An 18,325-nucleotide genomic window follows, 5' to 3' on the forward strand; every position below is an offset into this window, starting at 1 on the left:
TTAAAGTCACAATTATTTATTGATTTAAAAATTTTTTTGGGAGACAGGGTCTTGCTGTGTCACCCAGGCTGGAGTGCAGTGGCACCATCACGGCGTACTGCAGCCTCAACCTCCTGGGCTGAAGCAATCCTCCCACCTCAGCCTTCTTAGTAGCTGGGACTACAGGAGCACATCACCATGCCCAGCTAATTTTTTTTTTTTTTTTGTAGAGATGGGCATCTCGCTGTGTTGCCCATGCTGGTCTTGAACTCCTGGGCTCGAATGATCCTCCCACCCCAGCCTCCCAAAGTGCTGGCATTATAGGAGTGAGTCACCACACCCAGCGCAATGATTTTTTAAAATTAAAATTGAAAGAGCAAAAAATGGTATAAGGAATGTAACTAAAGATAAAAGAATTTTGTTATAGGCAGACAGTGTGTCTAAACTGAAAACCTAAGAGAATTTACAAATTATCTTAAATAGAATACTAAATAGTTAAAATGATAGCAAAATGATTATGTTCAGAAGGGTTACTGGCTATCAGATCAACTTACAAATATCAATGATATTCCATATATGAGTAATAATTAGAAAATATTAATCCCATCATCAATAGCAACATAACATTAAGGTACCCAAGAACAAATCTAACTTTTCTAGACGAAATTATTATCAAAGGACCTAACAAAGACCTGAACAAATTATAAATACTCCATGTGCATGGAGCAAAAGACTAAATACTGTAAAGAAATAAGTGATTTCCTAAATCAGTCTCCAAATTAAATGTAATTCCAATCAACATCTCAACAGGATTGTCATAAATTGTAAAATCAGATGGAAAAATAAAAGTCAAAAGATAGCTGAGACAAATTTTGAACAAAGAACAAGGAGGCGAAGTTCATCATATCTGATAACAAAATCATATGAAAGAATGTGGTATTTGCACAAAGATAGAAATAAACGTAAGCTGATCATGTGAATTTGATACATAATAGATAATGTGTCTCCAATCAGTGGGAAGGAAAGATAACTTTCTCAGTAAATGACATTAAGTGAGTTGACATTTCATAGGGAAAACTAAAATAATAGGCTGGACACAGTGGCTCATGCCTGTAATCCCAGCACTTTGGGAGGCCAAGGCAAGAGGATCACTTGAGTCCAGGAGTTCAAGGCCAGCCTGGGCAACATAGCTAGACCCCATCTCTGCAAACAATAAAAATAATTAGCCAGGCATGGTGATGTAGGCCTGTAGCTCCAGCTACTTGTGAGACTGAGGCAGGAGGATCACTTGAGCCTGGGAGGTCAAAACTGCAGTGAGTCATGATGGCGCTACTACACTTCCATCTGGGCAACAGAGAAAGACCCTGTCTCAAGAAAAAAAGAAAGAAAAGAATGGATCCCTACCTCACTCCATATTCAAAAATAAATTCCAAAAGTGTTTACAAACCTGACCATGGAAACCATTAAAATCATTTAAGAATATCTTATTTATGGATGCAGATGCATTTATATGTTACATAAAATACAAAGTTTATTTTAAAATGTGGACTAAGTTCACAATAAATTTATGATAGCTGTCAGCCAGGTGTGGAAGAGGAAGGGATTTCAACTATAAGTGTGAAATTTTCTCTTTTTTTTTTTTTTAAGTAGGGACAGAATCGGAATCAAATATGACAAAATAATTACATATGTTTGACTGGTGGGTAGTGGCTGTTTTTTGGCTTTTTGATTTTTTGTTTTGTTTTCTTTTTTAGATGGAGTCACCCTTTGTCACCCAGGCTGGAGTGCAGTGGTGTGATCTTGGCTCACTGAACCTCTGCCTCCAGGGTTCAAGCGACTCTCCTGCCTCAGCCTCCCAAGTAGCTGGGATTATAGGTGCATGCCACCACACTATGCTAATTTTTACATTTTTAGTAGAGACGAGGTTTCACCGTGTTGGCCAGGCTGGTCTCAAACTCCTGGGCTCAAGCAATCTGCCCTCCTTGACCTTCTAAAGTGCTGAGATTACAGGCGTGAGCCATGTTTTTTATATGATTTTTTATATTCTTGATATTGATCTTTTGAGTTTTGAAAAAGAAAATATTCATCTGAGTCTTCTGTTCCATGAAACTCAAACCTCTTTAATTCTTTGTGATCCACTGTTAGCCTCAGTCACTGGCTCTGCAGTTGTTTCCCAAATGTTTGGCTCCTTTTCCCCCTCATAATTACTGTGGGAATACAGTGTACGTCACTTAAAAAAAATAAGGCACAGCTTTGCTGTTTATTTACCTAGAGCTTTGTGTTTATGTTTGTTGAGTCCAGTGGATGGTGCCTTGGTGGGTGGATTGCTCATGACAGAGGATGGACAGCAATCTTGGGTCGTGGAGCATTTTGGTGGAGAACACTTGAGGAATCTGCCAAAAGCTAGCAGCTGGTCAGGCCCAGTTAGTAGGATTCTGTACTAGAATCAGAGAAATCACCAGCCTTCGACCAAATAGGGTCCAAAGCAGGGCTCTGCAGCCAAGTGATAACGGGACTTCGCTGTTCTGAACTTCCCCAGCTGTGTAAAGGGGAAAATGGCACCCACTTCAGAGAGAATTGAGAGGATGCAGTGAGATGCTGCATGTCAAATGCTTCATAAACCATAGTTCTCTTTTCTCTTTCACTTCAGTTATACCTCATGGGAACCACTTCAGAGTGGACTCTTGGAGATCCACAAATGGGGAAGTCAGTGTAACTTGGGGAGTCCAAGTTCTCACGTTTCTGAAGTCTGCAGTCCCTATTCCTTTTTCACCACCCAGAGGCATCCTCAGACATGAGTTGATAAGTCACGTCTCCAGGGACTTTTGAGTTCACTTTTTCAAAGTGGAGAAAGGAGTGGTTACTGGTGCAAGCAGCAGACCCTCTGCCTTGTGGCCTCCTGCTTGGAGGTTGGGGATTCTGGTTTCAGACACAGTCCTTCCTTGGGTTTTACTCATCTGTAAGGGATCCTGCTTGGCACAGCTCTGTTCCAAGAGGTGAGAGCCATCTATGCTGTTGTTCCCAGTTAATCATCAACAGAACCGTGGCAGAATGGAGACAGGATGAAGACTGTAGGCACTAGAGTCAAACCAGGTGTCTTTGAATCCCAAGTCAACTCCTTAGCAGCTAGTTAAGTCATGTTACTTCACTTCCGTGTGCCCCTGTCAAATGAGTATCATGATAGTTCCCACTCATAGGGTACTTGTGAGGATTAAATGTGTTAAGCCTGAAAAGTGCACAGAATAGAGCTTTGTACACATTTTAGACATTCAGCATGTTTTAACACGGCCATTGTTTTTCATGTTTTAACAACTTTACAAATGAAACGCATATTAGAGTTGATGGCATGTTACAATTACAAGTGGCAGCATTTTTTCTTTTTCGGTGGTATAGTTGGTGGCATCTTAGAATCAATGAATTAATTCAGCATGATATCTCCTTTTGCATAGGATATTGAGATGTACATCATGAGTGCATTTCAGTACTGAATAGTGTTTGCATATCAAATGTGAACACTGAACTGAATTCTGCCAAAGTCAAGTCATTGAATAATAAGCTATTCAGTTGTTCAGGCCTGGAAGGTTGTTTGTTAACTTTTTCCAGGGCACTGGCTGGCTTCCTAATAATGCAAATGACTTGATAGAACTCTGAAAAGGGAACCATTGAATCTTCTTCCCCTTGGACATCCAGAGCCATCATCTTTATAAAATGGATTTCTTACTAAAAATCCCTGGATGCCATCTATCTGATACACCTTCAAGGACAAAGTCTCAGCTAGTATTTTAGTTTTTTTTTTTTTTTAATGTGGGGCAAGGGGATAATAGGAGCTGAGCTTACAGAAAAGAAGTTAATGATTTCCAATGGACATGATTTCAAAGCAATTTCTGCCTTTTGATGCGCTGAAATCATTGCTTCCATCTGCTCCCCTACTTGTACACAGGGCTCTGCTTTTTAACCATGCAGTGTGTCAGCTGTTGCCCACCAAATTCTGCACTTGATCTTCTGAGACTGATGGCGATTCTCTATGAATAATATTAAGCTATTAAATCACATTTAAATCCTATTTCTCCACTAATACCTATTGAAGGCCTGTTTATATTCCATCAGATTTTTATGGCCATTTGGTACATAAATTTGTTAAATATAAACTTCATGGAGCTTCATCTGAAAATGTTTCATCTTGTTCCCAGTCCTGTAAAGACATGGTCATAAATACCTTTGGACTATGCAAACCATTATCTAGAGTAATTTTAATTATCTTTAGCTATGCCGATCAGATGATAATAAATAGATGTTGAAAAGCATCAGCAAAATGCCATCATGGAAGAGATACTCAGGGGTAAAACCAAATAATTGACCATTTGGTGCTGAAACATTTTATTATCATTCCTACAAAGGTTCAGAAATCTATCATGAGATTGGGTTTGTTATGAACTCAACATCACCTTGGTTGGGATGTCAAAACTAGAGTAAATTATTGAAATGAAATATGAAACATATTAAGGAACGTCCTCGGGAATGAAGGACACTGGAAAGACTGAATTTTCTAGTAACTTAATTTCGATCTATGGGTGAAGCTTTGTTTTCAGCACCCAGCTATATTTGCTTGGAACCATCTGGGTCTCTTGGAATAGATAATGTTAAACCAGATACACTAGTTGTACACGTGGTATGTCTTTATTGGGGGCTTTTGGTAACAGTTTAAGATAGAAAAAAAAGTATTGCTTTAAAAAAAAAGTGATCCTTGGTACTCACGGGTAACAACATTCTGCTTTGGCTAAGAGTTTACGTAACTGCATACTGTTCCCTATTTCTTTGTTGTTGTTGTTGTTTTGTATTTTTGTTGTTATTGTTTTTCTTTTGAGATAGAGTCTCGCTCTGTCGTCCAGGCTGGAGTGCAGTGGCCCGATCTCGGCTCACTGCAACCTCTGCCTCCTAGGTTCAATCGATTCTCCTGCCTCGGCCTCCTGAGTAGCTGGGATTACAGGTGTGAGCCACCACGCCTGGCTTGAGAGATGGAAGATCAGACTCGATTTGCTCATGTTGTTCCTAACCTTTATTCTAAACTGATAAAAATGTAAAGTCATCTGATTTCAAGACTGATTGTTCCCTTGGGTGTTCCTTAATTCCCTAGAGGCCGAGTAAATTCTTATGGTTTAAAGGCTCTTCCCCCTTGCTTTTCTATACTCCCTTGGGTTTGTTTTTAAAATGATAGTGTTCTGAACCAATTTTTTTTTTTCTTTTTGAGACAGAGTCTTCCTCTATCACCCAGGCCGTAGAGCAGTGGCACAATTTCAGCTCACTGCAACCTCCACCTCCTGGGCTCAAGTGATCTTCTCACCTCAGCCTCCCAAGTAACTGGGACTATAGGCACTTGCCACCATGCTCGCCTAATTTTTTAATTTTTTGTAGAGATGAAGTCTTCCTATATTACCCAGGCTGATCTTGAACCCCTGGGCTCAAGTGATGCCCCCACCTTGGCCTCCCAAACTGCTGGGATTATAGGCATGAGCCACCATGCCTGGCCCCAAATAATTTATATAAGCCATTTATCATAGTTCCTGACATATCATAGATGTTCAGTAAATATCAATTATCTTCCTCAGGCTGAGCATGGTGGCTCACGCCTGTAATCCCCGCACTTTGGGAGGCCAAAGTGGGTATCTTACTTGAAGTCAGGAATTCGAGACCAGCCTGGCCAACATGGCAAAACCCCATCTCCACTAAAAATACAAAAATTAGCCAGGCGCGGTGGCACACACCTGTAATCACAGCTACTCAGGAGGCTGAGGCAGGAGAATCACTTGAATACGGGAGGTGGAGGTTGCAGTGAGCTGAGATCATGCTGCTGTACTCCAGCCTAGGCGACAGAGTGATTGAGACTCCATCTCAACAAAAAAAGGAAAGAAAAAAACAGTTATCTTCCTCAATCCCTTTGTGTTAAGTTCCTAGTGGAAATTTGAGAAGTCCTTTATTTTACATTTAAAAGATAGGATGCTTTTAATGGTGCCTTAATTCATCGTACAAGAAACATTTGTTAAACATCTATTCGGCACCAGGGGTTGTTAGGCTGGTGGAAGGGACAGGTACTCTCATTGCAAGGCAGTGGGGTAGGCTCTATGGAGAACACATGCTAGAGGGTGAGAATGGGTAGACAGGCAAGATCGTGATGCAGGGAGAGACTGGTAGAGAACACAGGAGATTTTTGCAGTAGATCAGATGATAGAGAATGCAGCCCGAGATTTAAAGCAGTGACAGTAGAAATAGAGAGGAGACGCTGGGTGCGGTGGCTCATGCCTGTAATCCCAGCACTTTGGGAGGCCGAGGCAGGCGGATCACGAGGTCAGGAGATCAAGACCATCCTGGCCAACGTGGTGAAACCCCGTCTCTACTAAAAATACAAAAATTAGCTGGGAGTAGTGGTGCGTGCCCGTAATTCCAGCTACTTGGGAGGCTGAGGCAGGAGAATCGCTTGAACCAGGGAGTCGGAGGTTGCAGTGAGCCAAGATCACGCCACTGCACTCCAGCCTGAGAGTGATCTCCAGCACTCCAGAGTGAGACTCCGTCTCAAAAAAAGAAAAGAAAAGAAAAGAAATATAGAGGAGAGAATTAGGAAGACAGAGAGAGATTGGTGCCTAGTTAGGATGGAGCAATTAGCTCAGTGGTCTGAGATAATTCAGGTTTTTGTAACGAATGGGTGTTCGTGCTACCAACTAAGGCGAGGAATTTTTTTTAAGTGGTTTAGGAGATGCCATGGTGCCCCTCACCCCCAAATTCCTATGTTAAAATCCTAATCACCGCAAGGTGATGGCATTAGGAGGTGAGGCCTTTGAAGGTGCTTAGGTCTTAAGGGCCCCAGAGAGACCCCTTAGGTTTTAAGGGCCCCAGATAGACCCCTTGTCCCTTCTACCATGTGAGGACACAACTAGAAGTTGCTATCTGCCCAGGCATGGTGGCTTATACCTGTAATCCTAGCACTTTGGGAGGCCAAGGCAGGCAGATCATCTGAGGTCAGGAGTTCATGACCAGCCTGGCCAACATGGTGAAACCCCGTCTCTACAAAAAAATACAAAAAAATTAGCTGGGCATGGTGGTGGGCACCTGTAATCCCAGCTACTTGGGAAGCTGAGGCAGGAGAATTGCTTGAACCTGAGAGGTGGAGGTTGCAGTGAGCCGAGATCACGCCATTGCACTCCAGCCTGGGTGACAAGAGTGAAACTCCATCTCAAAAAAACAGAAAGAAGGTGCTATCTATGATCCAGGAAGTGGGTCCTCACCTGATGCCAAATCTGCCTCGATCTTGGACTTCTCAGCCCCCAAAACTATAAGAAATACATATATATATATATATATATATATATATATATATTTTTTTTTTTTTTTTTTTTACCATGTTGGCCAGGCTGGTCTTGAACTCCTGACTTCAGGTGATCCATCCACCTTGGCCTCCCAGAGTGCTGGGATTACAGGCAAGAGCCACTGTGCCTGGCTAAGAAATAAATTTCTTTTGTTCACACACTACCCAGTTTATGGCATTTTTTAATAGCAGCCCAAACAGACTGAGACACGTGAGGTTGATGAATTCAGTTTTTGTCCAGTTGAGTTTGAAGTAGTCACGGAAAACTTAGTGAAATAACCGGTAGGGAATTTGGTATATAAATCCAAAGCCGAGACCTAGAGATACAGATTTGGAAGTCATAAACGTAGTTTTGAAAGCATGAGAACAGAGGATATTACCCAAAGGATACATGAGGGATAAAATGAAAAGAAGGGCAAGGATGGAACCTGGGGGAATATTGACGTTTAATGGGAGGGAAATGGAAGAGCATCTCATAGAGATGGATGAGAAAGGAGCACTCTGAGAGTTAGGAGAATCGGGATGCCTGGGAGTCACAAAGGCCCAGGAAAGTGAGAACACCAAGGAAGAAATTGTCACCAGTAACAGCAACAGAGTTCCGTGAACACAGAATTTAAAAGGTCCTGTGAGAATGAGCAATAAGGTCACTGGTGACCTTTATGAAAACGAGAGACATGGTGGAGTTAGAAGCCAGCTTGTAGTATCCTTTGATGCTTGGCTGTAGAAGGAAGGAAAAGAATTGGATCAGAAGGGGACTTAGAGTGGAAGGGAGAAGCCTTTGCAAGATTTCCCATCTCTGTGGAAAAGAAGTTCATGTTCGGGTGTATCTCCTCTGTTCCAAACGCATAGCAGTGACAGATAAAATACAAAGAGAGAAAGCCAAAGTGATATTGCTGGACTCGTGGATCAAAAACTCGGAAGGATGAGGGTAGCCTGGATTGACTGGAATCTGGGTCTTGGGGTCAGGCAGGTATTGATGTAGGTCTTTTATGGCAATAGGACTAAAAGTACTCAATGCAAGCTGGGCCACCAGAGCCAGGGTCACTGTTTGAAAAAAGAGGCTGGAGGTAGGCCTCCCCACCCTCTTTTCATTCTTTCAGGTGAAAGGAACCTGAAAAGAATCCCCTGTGTCTGATGCCTGGGCCATGGCTTACAGTAGTAGTTCTGCTCTTAGAAGGCAACTGTAAAACCTAGAGATTGGTGTGAGGAGTCAGGGAGTGGAGGTGGAGAAAAAAAAGCAGCAACAGTGACAATAACAACAAAGCCTCCCACTCAAAAACGACCCCGCAAATCTAACATTAATGAAGACAGCCAAGGTATCAACAGTCAGAATGTAAATCTACTGCCGAAGAAAATAACTTTGTAGACAGACCTGATTAAAATAGTATATTCGGGCTGCTCAGAGGGAAAAGTAAAGGAATAATGTTCATTTTAAAAGAATGAGAAATTAGGAACCAAAAAAGAAACAAGAACAGAGGATTTGAAAAAGAACCAGTTTGAAATTCAGGGACTGAATCATTGAAATGAAATCTAAGTGGATCAGATAAACTAGGCTAGATACAACTGAAGAGATAATTAGTGAATTGGAAGATATTAATAGTATTGAGAAATACAACCCATTTCATAGCACAGAAATACAAAGAATTTTTTAAATACATAGTTAAATTAGGGAGAAAGAATGAGAATTGCCATATAGCTAACTCATAGGAGCAGAAAAATATTAGGTTGGTGCAAAAGTAATTGCGATTTTTGCCATTAGTTTTAATGCAATTACTTTTGCACCAACCATACAATGGAGGAAATAACAGAAAAGCAATATTTGAAACAATAAAGGCTGAGAATTTTCTAGAATTGAAGAGAGACATAAATCCTTACATCAACGTATATTTGAGTAATAACAATAATGGTAAACACTTATTTAGCCCTTATGTTCCAGACCCTCTTCTATATGCTTTCTATGTATTAACTCATTAATCCTCTAATATCCCTTGGATAAGAGTAATTTACATGTGAGTAAACTGGAAAAGAGAGAATGTGTGTAGTTTGCCCAAGGTCACACAACTGGGTGGTGGGATTTCACCCCAAGCAGCCTGGATACCCTCTAATACTTCTCTAAATCCTAAAGGGATTAAAAATAAATCTATACCTGGACACATTGTCATGAAACTGCAGATTATCAAAGATTTTTTTTTAAGAGCTCCTCTAGAGGAAAGACAGATCACGTACAAAGGGACAATCCTCATCCTAATAGTGGACTTCTCATTAGCAACAGCTGGTCAATGAAGACAATGAAAGGAGAGATTCTAAAACCCAGGGCAAGGCATAGAACACAAGAAACAAATGTGGGCCTATCAAATGATACAATGTTATACATTAACTTAACTGTGAAATACTGAGGAAGGAGCTGGTAGGCCAGTGAGTTTGGAGTTACAAGAGGAAGAGCAGCTGGGCACCCCGTGGCTCATCCCTGTAATCTCAGCACTGTGGGAGGCTGGAGAAGGAGGATCACTTTATCCCAGGAACTCAAGACCAGCCTGGACAACATAGTGAGACCCCATCTCTACAAAAAAAAAATTAAAAAATTTGGCAAGCATGGTGGTGCGTGCCTATAGTCCCAGCTACTTGGGAGGCTGAGGTGGGAGGATCACTTGAGCCCAAGAGGTTGAGGCTGCAGTGAGCCATGATTGCGCCACTGCACTCTAGTCTGGGTGACAGAGCAAGACCCTGTCTCAAAAAGAAAAAGGAGGGAAAGAAAATAAGAGGAAGAGCCTGCCCCCGGGAAGCCAGAAAGTGAATGGTCTTCGTGAACCTCTGAAATAGAAGGAAAAGCAGGGCAGGCAAGGAGGGGGAGAAGGGGCAGAGAGTGACGAGCACACGCAGAAGGTCTCTAGTTTCCAGTAATATGGGAAGAAAGGTCATCTCCTGTAAAGGAAGGGGTCAGGAAAGAGGGGGCTGAAGGAGGGTAATAAAGGTCAAAGATAACCTTTATGGGAAATGGATGAGAAGCGTCAAAGGATTGCTTGAAAGTCTTGGCAGTGTGGTGATTTGGGAAATGTTGAATGAGTGGTACCATCAGCCTACATAATTGTGGCGTTTTCCCAGCTGTGCTTTGCAGCCTGCGTGTAGGAGCACAGGAAATGGTTGAATTGATTCAGGATTTGTCTTCAGGGTAGGTTCAGCAAAGTATGGAAAAATTGAGCAAGTGAAGGTCAAAATGAGCTTTGGAGTCCAGTGAAGACTCTTGGGAATTGGAGAGCTTGGTGAGGTCAAGGAGAAAGTGTCCTGGGAGTGAGAGTAAGAGAATACAGGTTGGGGTTGGAGCAAAAGTAACTAGAGCTTTCAGATTTCAGAAGTGGAATAATTCCAGGAGATTCAAGACCCCAGTGGAGCTTGAAGGGAAGTGGTTAGAGGTGGAATGGAGGTGAAGGTCGTTGGAGGAGAAGGAAAGGAAAAGGAATGAGGAGGCTGGGCCTATAGTGTTGATGGGCTGCCCATGTGGACACTGAAATCATAAAGATGTGGATATAAAGTAGGGTAAAGTGGAATCCTGGGCATGGTCCAGAGAGTTCATGAAGCCAGGGGTCAGGTGGTCTGTAAATAACAGCAGTCATCATCAATCACCAATGAGGCGTGTGGCTAGAAAGCAGGGGCCTGGAGGAGGAGGGCCCTGGAAAAGTGCCACTCATTCTACAAGTGACCACTAACCTTGGGAATTTTTTTTTGGTGGTTGGGGGGATGGATCTTGCTCTGTCGCCCAGGTTAGAGTGCAGTGGTACAACCTTGGTTCACTGCAACCTCGACCTCCTGGACTCAGGTGATCCTCCTACCTCAGTCTCCCAAGTAGCTGGAACTACAGGTGCATACCACCATGCCCAGCTAATTTTGATATTTTTTTTTTGTAGAGATGGGGTTTTGCCATGTTTCCCAGGCTGGTCTCCAACTCCTGGGCTCAAGTGATCCTCTTGCCTCACCCTCCCGTAGTGCTGGGATTACAAGCATGAGCTACCACACCAGGCCCCTGGGTCACCTCTTACACCAGAGCCAGTGGGTTCATTTGATCAATCTGAGCAGTACTCACAGGATTCAATTGTCTTCTCACACCTTTTCCCCAGGTTTCAAAGTCAGAGCCACTTGCTGACTTGAGTGATTATGGCAGGGCCCCATCTAATGGCCTTTTTGCAAAGTACAGCTGGAGCAAGCAGGCTCGCCTGTGCCCCTTTTCTCATCAAAAGCAAGGCAAAGAGGGTATAGATTAGACTAGCAGGCCCCGGCTAGGAAGTAACATCTTCAAGAGTAAGAAGTAATCATGATGGCAGCCATGTGGATATTGACTCATAATAATGGTGATGGTCAGACGGATATTGGCAGGAATATTTACATGAGCCCAGCATCTTGCCAACCTGTCTTTAGATAGCCACAGTCTCATGAAATCTTCACAGATATTAATATCCCCATTTTACAACTGACACTGAGGCTTAGTGAGAGCCAGCGGTCTGCACAGCCTCACAGCTAGCAAGTGTCAGATCTAGGACTCAATTCTAGGTTAGTTTAGCCTTGGAGCACGTGCTCTCATGTAACTAATCTGCTGTCTTTGGCTCTAAAAATGAAATAAGACTGTAGGTAGAGCCAGGCGCGGTGGCTCACACCTGTAATCCCAACACTTTGGGAGGCTGAGGCGGACGAATCATTTGAGGTCAGGAGTTTGAGACCAGCCTGGCCAACAAGGTGAAACCCTGTCTCTACTAAAAATACAAAAATTAGCTGGGCTTGGTGGTGCATGCTTGTAATCCCAGCTGCTTGGGAGGCTGAGGCAGGAGAATCACTTGAACCAGGGAGGCAGAGGCTGCAGTAAGCCAAGATCCAAGATGGTGCCACTGCTCCAACCTGGGCAACAGAACGAGACTCTGTCTCATAGATTTAAAAAAAAAAAAAAAACTGTACATGGAGTCAGCTGCTCTAAAGTCTGGTTGAAAGTTTAAATTTTCACAGTGAGGAAAGGGAAATAAGTCACTCCCATCTTAAAGAAGCATTGTCAAAGGAATATTTTTCTCCTTCCAAGTTTTACAGGGAGGCAAATATTCTGAAAGGAATTATCGTGGTAATAACATCCCTTACCTGATTTTTTTCAAAAACTTTTATTACTAGGAATTTTCTCAGATGTAATGCCATATAATGGGTGTTTATCAACTGGAATAGTGAGGGAAAATGGCTTTCCAGCCATGTGTCTAGTTTTTACACATCTTCAGACATGGATGGAAGGCAGAGCTGGGTTGCCTCAATTCTGGGTCAAGTCAGCTTCCCCTGGATTAGAAGGGGAGGCTGGTAGGCTAATAGCAGGATGCTGGTGACATATGAAGGAGGGGTTGTTTCTTATGAAAGCAGATTCTCAGAGAAAGAGGATCTGCGTAGGAACACCAGAGAGATTGGCCTCAAAGACCCAAAAGCAAAAGAAATAAGTTAAAAATAAAACAGTCCTAGGCCAGGCACGGTCACTCACGCCTGTAATCCCAACACTTTGGGAGGCCCAGGCGGGTGGATAGCTTGAGGTCAGGAGTTCGAGACCAGCCTTGCCAACATGGTGAAACCCCATTTTTACTGAAAATACAAAAATTAGCCAGGCGTGAAAGCATGTACCTGTAGTCCCAGCTACTTGGGAAGCTGAGGCACAAGAATCACTTGAACCCAGGAGGCGGAGGTTGCAGTGTGCTGAGAACTTGCCACTGCACTCCAGCCTGGACAACAGAGTGAGACTCCCTCTCCAAAAAAAATTAAAATATGACTGGGCATGGCTCACATCTGTAATCCCAGCACTTTGGGAGGCTGAGGCGGACGGATCACCTGAGGCCAGGAGTTTGAGACCAGCCTGGCCAACATCATGAAGCCCCATCTCTACTAAAAATAAAAAATTAGCTGGGTGCGTTGGGATGCGCCTGTAGTCCCAGTTACTCAGGAGGCTGAGGCAGGAGAATCGTTTGAAACCGGGAAGCAGAGGTTGCAGTGAGCCGAAATCGCGCCATTGCACTCCAGCCAGGGCAACAGGGTGAGATTCTGTCTCAAAATAAAATAAAATAAAACAAAACAATAAAATAAAATAAAACAAGGCTAATGATAAACCCAGGGGCTCCTTGGCAGGAGCAAAGCTGAACCGAGAGCTCTATTCCTAGAGCCCTATGTCTGAATAATTTATTTTTCCTATCTCATAGTCCCTATGTGCCTTCCTCAGCTGAGATCAAGTGCCAAAGGACATCTCAAAATACCCACAGCCAAAACTTCTCAGCATAGCTCCCTGCATGGAGAAGGAGACAGCTCTGCAAGTCTTTGTCCTGAACCGTTTACGGATTTTCCATGGTCTGCAAGACCTTGGACTCACGCCGCCTGCCAGCTGGCAGCCGCTGTCCAGCCTGGGAACAGAGCTTGCTCCGGCCTGTGGCGAGTCCTCCCGGGGCTTATCGTGAATTTCCCCGGTTTTGCATCTTCATCCTGAAAACCTCCCGACCTTTCCTTAATGAAGATTTTAGCTGGGGGAAATTGCATTAGTGGCTCGTGTTTTTCTGTCAACCTTCTAAATTATGTTAGTTGTAAGTAAAAAGAGTACAGTAAGTCCTTTTATCCGTTGTGGGCTGTTCCTGGGAATCATAATGGACAATAAAATAATAAGTAATGGACAGGAAGATGCTCTTAGAACCAGTTCGGAAAACTCTTCCAGTGCCAGACAGAAACCAGCCACCTGCGCCGTTATCAGGACATCAAGTGAAGCCAGTAAACACTTGTGGAGCTCCTTTTAAGTCCCAGCACCAAAGAATAATACCTAACACTTCTAGTTAAGAGAGCATCGTACTGAGTATTATCTCAGTTAATATTCATAACAGCACATAAGTTCAATGCTCAGTTTGCAGATGAGGGAACTGTGGTTGAGAGATGTTTTTAATACACTGCCCAAGGCCACACAATGAATAGCTGACAAAACTGAGATCTGGGGTCTTTTGATTGTGTGTCTTTCTCTCTCCACACTCCACCTCAGCTGCTCAGAAGCAGATCCTGGGGCCAGAATGGACCTCTGTAGGAAGCCTCAGAGATGGAAGCTTTCTGCCCTCAACTGGCTGACTGAATTGATGGAACAGTGGGTGATAAGCGAGGGAATTATTTCGTAGTTTGGTTGAAAAAAAGTCTTCAGCATGTAAATATGTCTTACATAAGTCATGAAAAATGGGACTGAAAGAAATGAGAGACAAGAGGGAAAAGACAGAAGTATTTTCTTTATCAAACCTTGGGGAAAAGCATCTTTTCCTCAAATACCCAATGCAGTATGTATGGTTTTTGTTGTTATTATTAAGACAAGGGACCCTTTTTTTACCCAGACCCAAATTCAACTGCCTTCAAAGAGATGGGACAATGTTCTTAGAGAGTGAAGTTTCGCACTGAAAACCAGCTTTTCCAAAGAGCTCCAAAGAGCACGTTTAAATTCGGCTAAGTCGGAGACGTTTGCAGATGCAGGCCTGAGACCCCTGGCCCACACTTGGATGACGAGGCGTAAAGTGAGGACCCTTTGCCTGTAAGGCTGTGTCTCCATCTCAGAAACCTATTTAAAGCCGAACTTTATAATGGAAACACAGCCACAACCTGCTATCAGCAACCACGATATTAAACAGGCATAGAGCCAATAGCAGTGGCGTGAAGCCAGCGAGGAAAGATTAGCATCACAAGTAAGAGATTTTAGGCTCAGGGCCAGAAGAGGGTTTTTTTTTTTCTTCTTCCCTTTTTATTAAAAAATAATAATAAAAAGGGAGAGAGAAAGAAATAAAAAGAGGTGGAAAGGTGCAAAAGAATTCCTGTTTAGCCACCCTCCCTGAGATTGTTCTCCTTGGTTATCCAGATAAGTACAGAAACAAACCACTGCCTGTCTGAAAACCTGGCAGTCGCTTGACCTTAAAATGGTCTCTGCAATAACCCTTCCAACCTGCTCCGCTCTCCTGTCCTTGGCTGGCCCATGTGCAGAATGGAGCGTGTGACCTCCAGCACGGGGAAAGTAATAATCAGTAAGGTTCATATTTTCCACTTGGAGTTAGAGGAAAGACCATGTGAGCACAACTTTGGGTTGCTATCTTTTTGCCCTGCGCTGCTGTAGGAAGAGACATGCAGTGGTTGGAAGTCTCCCTACTGGCAGAGCGTCGTTCCAGCACCCAGTTTGACTTTGTGCAAGATGGTGCTTTTCTGACTACCTCCTCCCTTTAAGCTGCAGCCTTCTGAAATCTCAGCTTTCAGGAAAGGATGCCAGCCCCAGGAGTTATAGGATGCAGCAGAGCAAAGGTGGCATTTTCCAGGTGAGCTTCGGGACTGCCCCCCTTGGGCTCTCCCATCCAGGCCATGCAGTGCTGACTGCCCATAGCTTGACCGCTGCAGATGGACAGGGGGTGCTCTGTTGTAAGCAACTCTCAGAGGCTAAGTGACGTGCTCAATCTTGCTGCTTGCTCCAAACCAGCACAAGATTTTTTGTAGCCTTCTTTTACACTTCTTATTTGGAAAATTTCAAACCTACAGAGAAGTTTGTAAGAAGAGTGCAGTGATTCTGGATTCACCAATTGTTAACATTTTTCTCCATTTGCTTTGTCTCTTCCTCTCCATACATATTTACATCATTTCCCCCAACCCCCCAGAACCCTTTGAGAGTCATATACAGACATCATGACTCCTTAACTTTTTTTTCTTTCTTTTTTTTTTTTTTGAGATGGAGTTTCACTCTTGTTGCTCAGGCTGGAGTGCAATGCTGTGACCTCGGCTCACTGCAACCTCTGCCTCCCGGGTTCAAGCGATTCTCCTGCCTCAGCTTCCCGAGTACCTGGGATTATAGGCGCCCGCCACCATGCCCAGCTAAATTTTTGTATTTTTAGTAGAGATGGGGTTTCACCCTGTTGGCCAGGCTAGTCTCAAACTCTTGACCTCAGGCGATTCACCCACCTCGGCCTCCCAAATTGCTGGGATTACAGGCATGAGCCACCGGCCCCGGCCTGACCCTTTACCCTTGAATACTTCATTGCGCCCTAAGAACAAGGGCTTTCCCTTACGTAACCATCGTGCAGTGCTTAGGTTCTGGAAGCTTAACATTGATACAATACTATTATCTGATAGAGAGGCATATTTACATCTTGCCGATTATCGCAAAATGTTTTTTCAATAGCAAATAAAAACTTTAAGAAATTACTAAATGTCAATTAAAAAAAAAAAACAAAAAAAAACAAAAAAAAAAAACCACTTCCTAACTTGCCTAGCTACTCAGGAGGCTGAGGCAGGAGAATGGCCTGAGCCCATGTGTTCAAGTCCAACCTGAGCAACATAGTGAGATTCTATCTCTTAAAAGTTAAATCAGTAAATAAATAAACATTCATGATTCATGTTCCAGTAGAGGCTCACACATTGCATTTAATTGTCACTTTCTTTAGTCTCCTCTTTAATCTGGAGCTGTTTCTCAGCTTTTTTTTTTTTTTTTGAGACAGAGTTTCACTCCTGTTGCCCAGTCTGGAGTGCAATGGTGCGATCTGAGCTCACTGCAACCTCCACCTCTTGAGCTCCAGCAATCCTCCCACCTCAGCCTCCCGAGCAGCTGGGACTACAGGCATGCACCGTCACACCTGTCTAGTTTTTCTAGTTTTTTTTTTTTTTTTTTGTAGAAATGAAGTCTTGCTATGTTGCCCAGGCTGGTCTCAAACTCCTGGGCTCAAGTGATGTGCCTTTCTCAGCCTCCCAAAGCGTTGGGAGGCATGAACCATCACGCCCGGCCTGTTTCTCAGCTTTTCTTTGTCTCTCGTGACACTGACATTTTGCAGAACACTGGCTGGTTTTGTGCATGTCCTTGTTGCTGGGTTTTCCCCATTGTGTTCTCATGATTAGATTCAGACTGTGCATCTTTGGCAGGAATTCTGTATTAGCAATACTGAGTCATTGTGGACTTTCAGAATATCCTTTCCCCAACATGCATGGCTTCCCTGTGATTTTATTTATTTATTTATTTATTTTTATTTTTTGTAGAGACAGGGTCTTCCTATGTTGCCCAGGCTGGTCTCGAACTCTTGGGCTCAAACTATCCTCCTGCCTCAGCCTCCCGAAGTGCTGGGAACACAGGCATGAGCCACTGTGCACAGCCTTCCCTGTATTTTATTTTCTGGCCTTTGAGAAGACTTTAGCCTCCCCTGGTTTCCCAAGCTGTGTTCATCACAGAGCTGGTGTCGGAGGCCTGGTGGGAGAGTTGGTCATGTTCTTCTTCTTCTTCCTTTTTTTTTTTTTTTTTTTGAGACAGAGTCTCACTCTTGTTGCCCAGGCCGGGTGCAATGGCGCAATCTCGGCTTACTGCAACCTCTGCCTCCCGGGTTCAAGTGATTCTCCTGCCTCAGCCTCCCAAGTAGCTGGGATTACAGGCATGCGCCACCATGCCCGGCTAACTTTTGTATTCTTAATAGAGACGGGATTTCACCATGTTGGCCAGGCTGGTCTCGAACTCATGACCTCAGGTAATCCGCCCACCTCAGACTCCCAAAGTCCTGGGTTTATAGGCGTGAACCACCGCACCCAGCCAGTCATGTTCTTCTAAGCACTGGAGAAAAAAGGACAGCTGCCTGTGCTGAAAAGTCACCCCAAGAGAGAGCAGGAAGAATCCCAAAGCAGAGGCGACAGTGGACTCTTTCTATCCTGTGCTCTGAGTCCGGCAAACTGTTGATGAAGCCCTCACGGGGTCATTCACAGCAGAATTGGATCTGGTTAGATCCAATTCCAAAAAAAAAAAAAGCCACATCCCTTGGATCCAGGTTTGCTTTTTGTACCCAAGCTTGGGCATTCCATTTGGATGGTTTTACCTCTTAAATATTACATCCATCCTACTTCTCCATTCCGGCTACCATGGCCCTAGTTAAGGTGTTTATTTCTTTTCTAGAGCAATCTCACACTAAACCCATATCTCCCACAGAGCTATCTGCCCAGGGAATCCACGTAGACTTCAAA

The 18,325-nt window shown here is 43.6% G+C and overlaps 1 protein-coding gene across 3 annotated transcripts in view, besides 2 other annotated features; it reads left to right on the forward strand.

Moving 5' to 3' along the window:
* The window catches only part of PITPNC1 (phosphatidylinositol transfer protein cytoplasmic 1), a 319,976-nt gene that overhangs the window by 214,407 nt on the left and 87,244 nt on the right, over positions 1-18,325 (forward strand). The gene's annotated exons all lie outside the window — the stretch shown is intronic.
* Positions 7,751-7,979: a silencer, noted in NCBI's record as "fragment chr17:65595554-65595782 (GRCh37/hg19 assembly coordinates)". NCBI's record gives its function as "represses an EF-1alpha promoter that drives an FKBP-Casp9 reporter gene in an ReSE screen in HepG2 liver carcinoma cells {active_cell/tissue: HepG2}" and the evidence as "EXISTENCE:reporter gene assay evidence [ECO:0000049][PMID:32094911]".
* Positions 11,194-11,703: an enhancer, noted in NCBI's record as "OCT4-NANOG hESC enhancer chr17:65598997-65599506 (GRCh37/hg19 assembly coordinates)". NCBI's record gives its function as "activates a minimal SCP1, AML or CMV promoter by ChIP-STARR-seq in primed H9 embryonic stem cells {active_cell/tissue: H9 hESC(primed)}" and the evidence as "EXISTENCE:reporter gene assay evidence [ECO:0000049][PMID:30033119]".

The sequence above is a fragment of the Homo sapiens genome, chromosome 17 (assembly GCF_000001405.40).
Source record: "Homo sapiens chromosome 17, GRCh38.p14 Primary Assembly".
Taxonomy (NCBI): domain Eukaryota; kingdom Metazoa; phylum Chordata; class Mammalia; order Primates; family Hominidae; genus Homo; species Homo sapiens.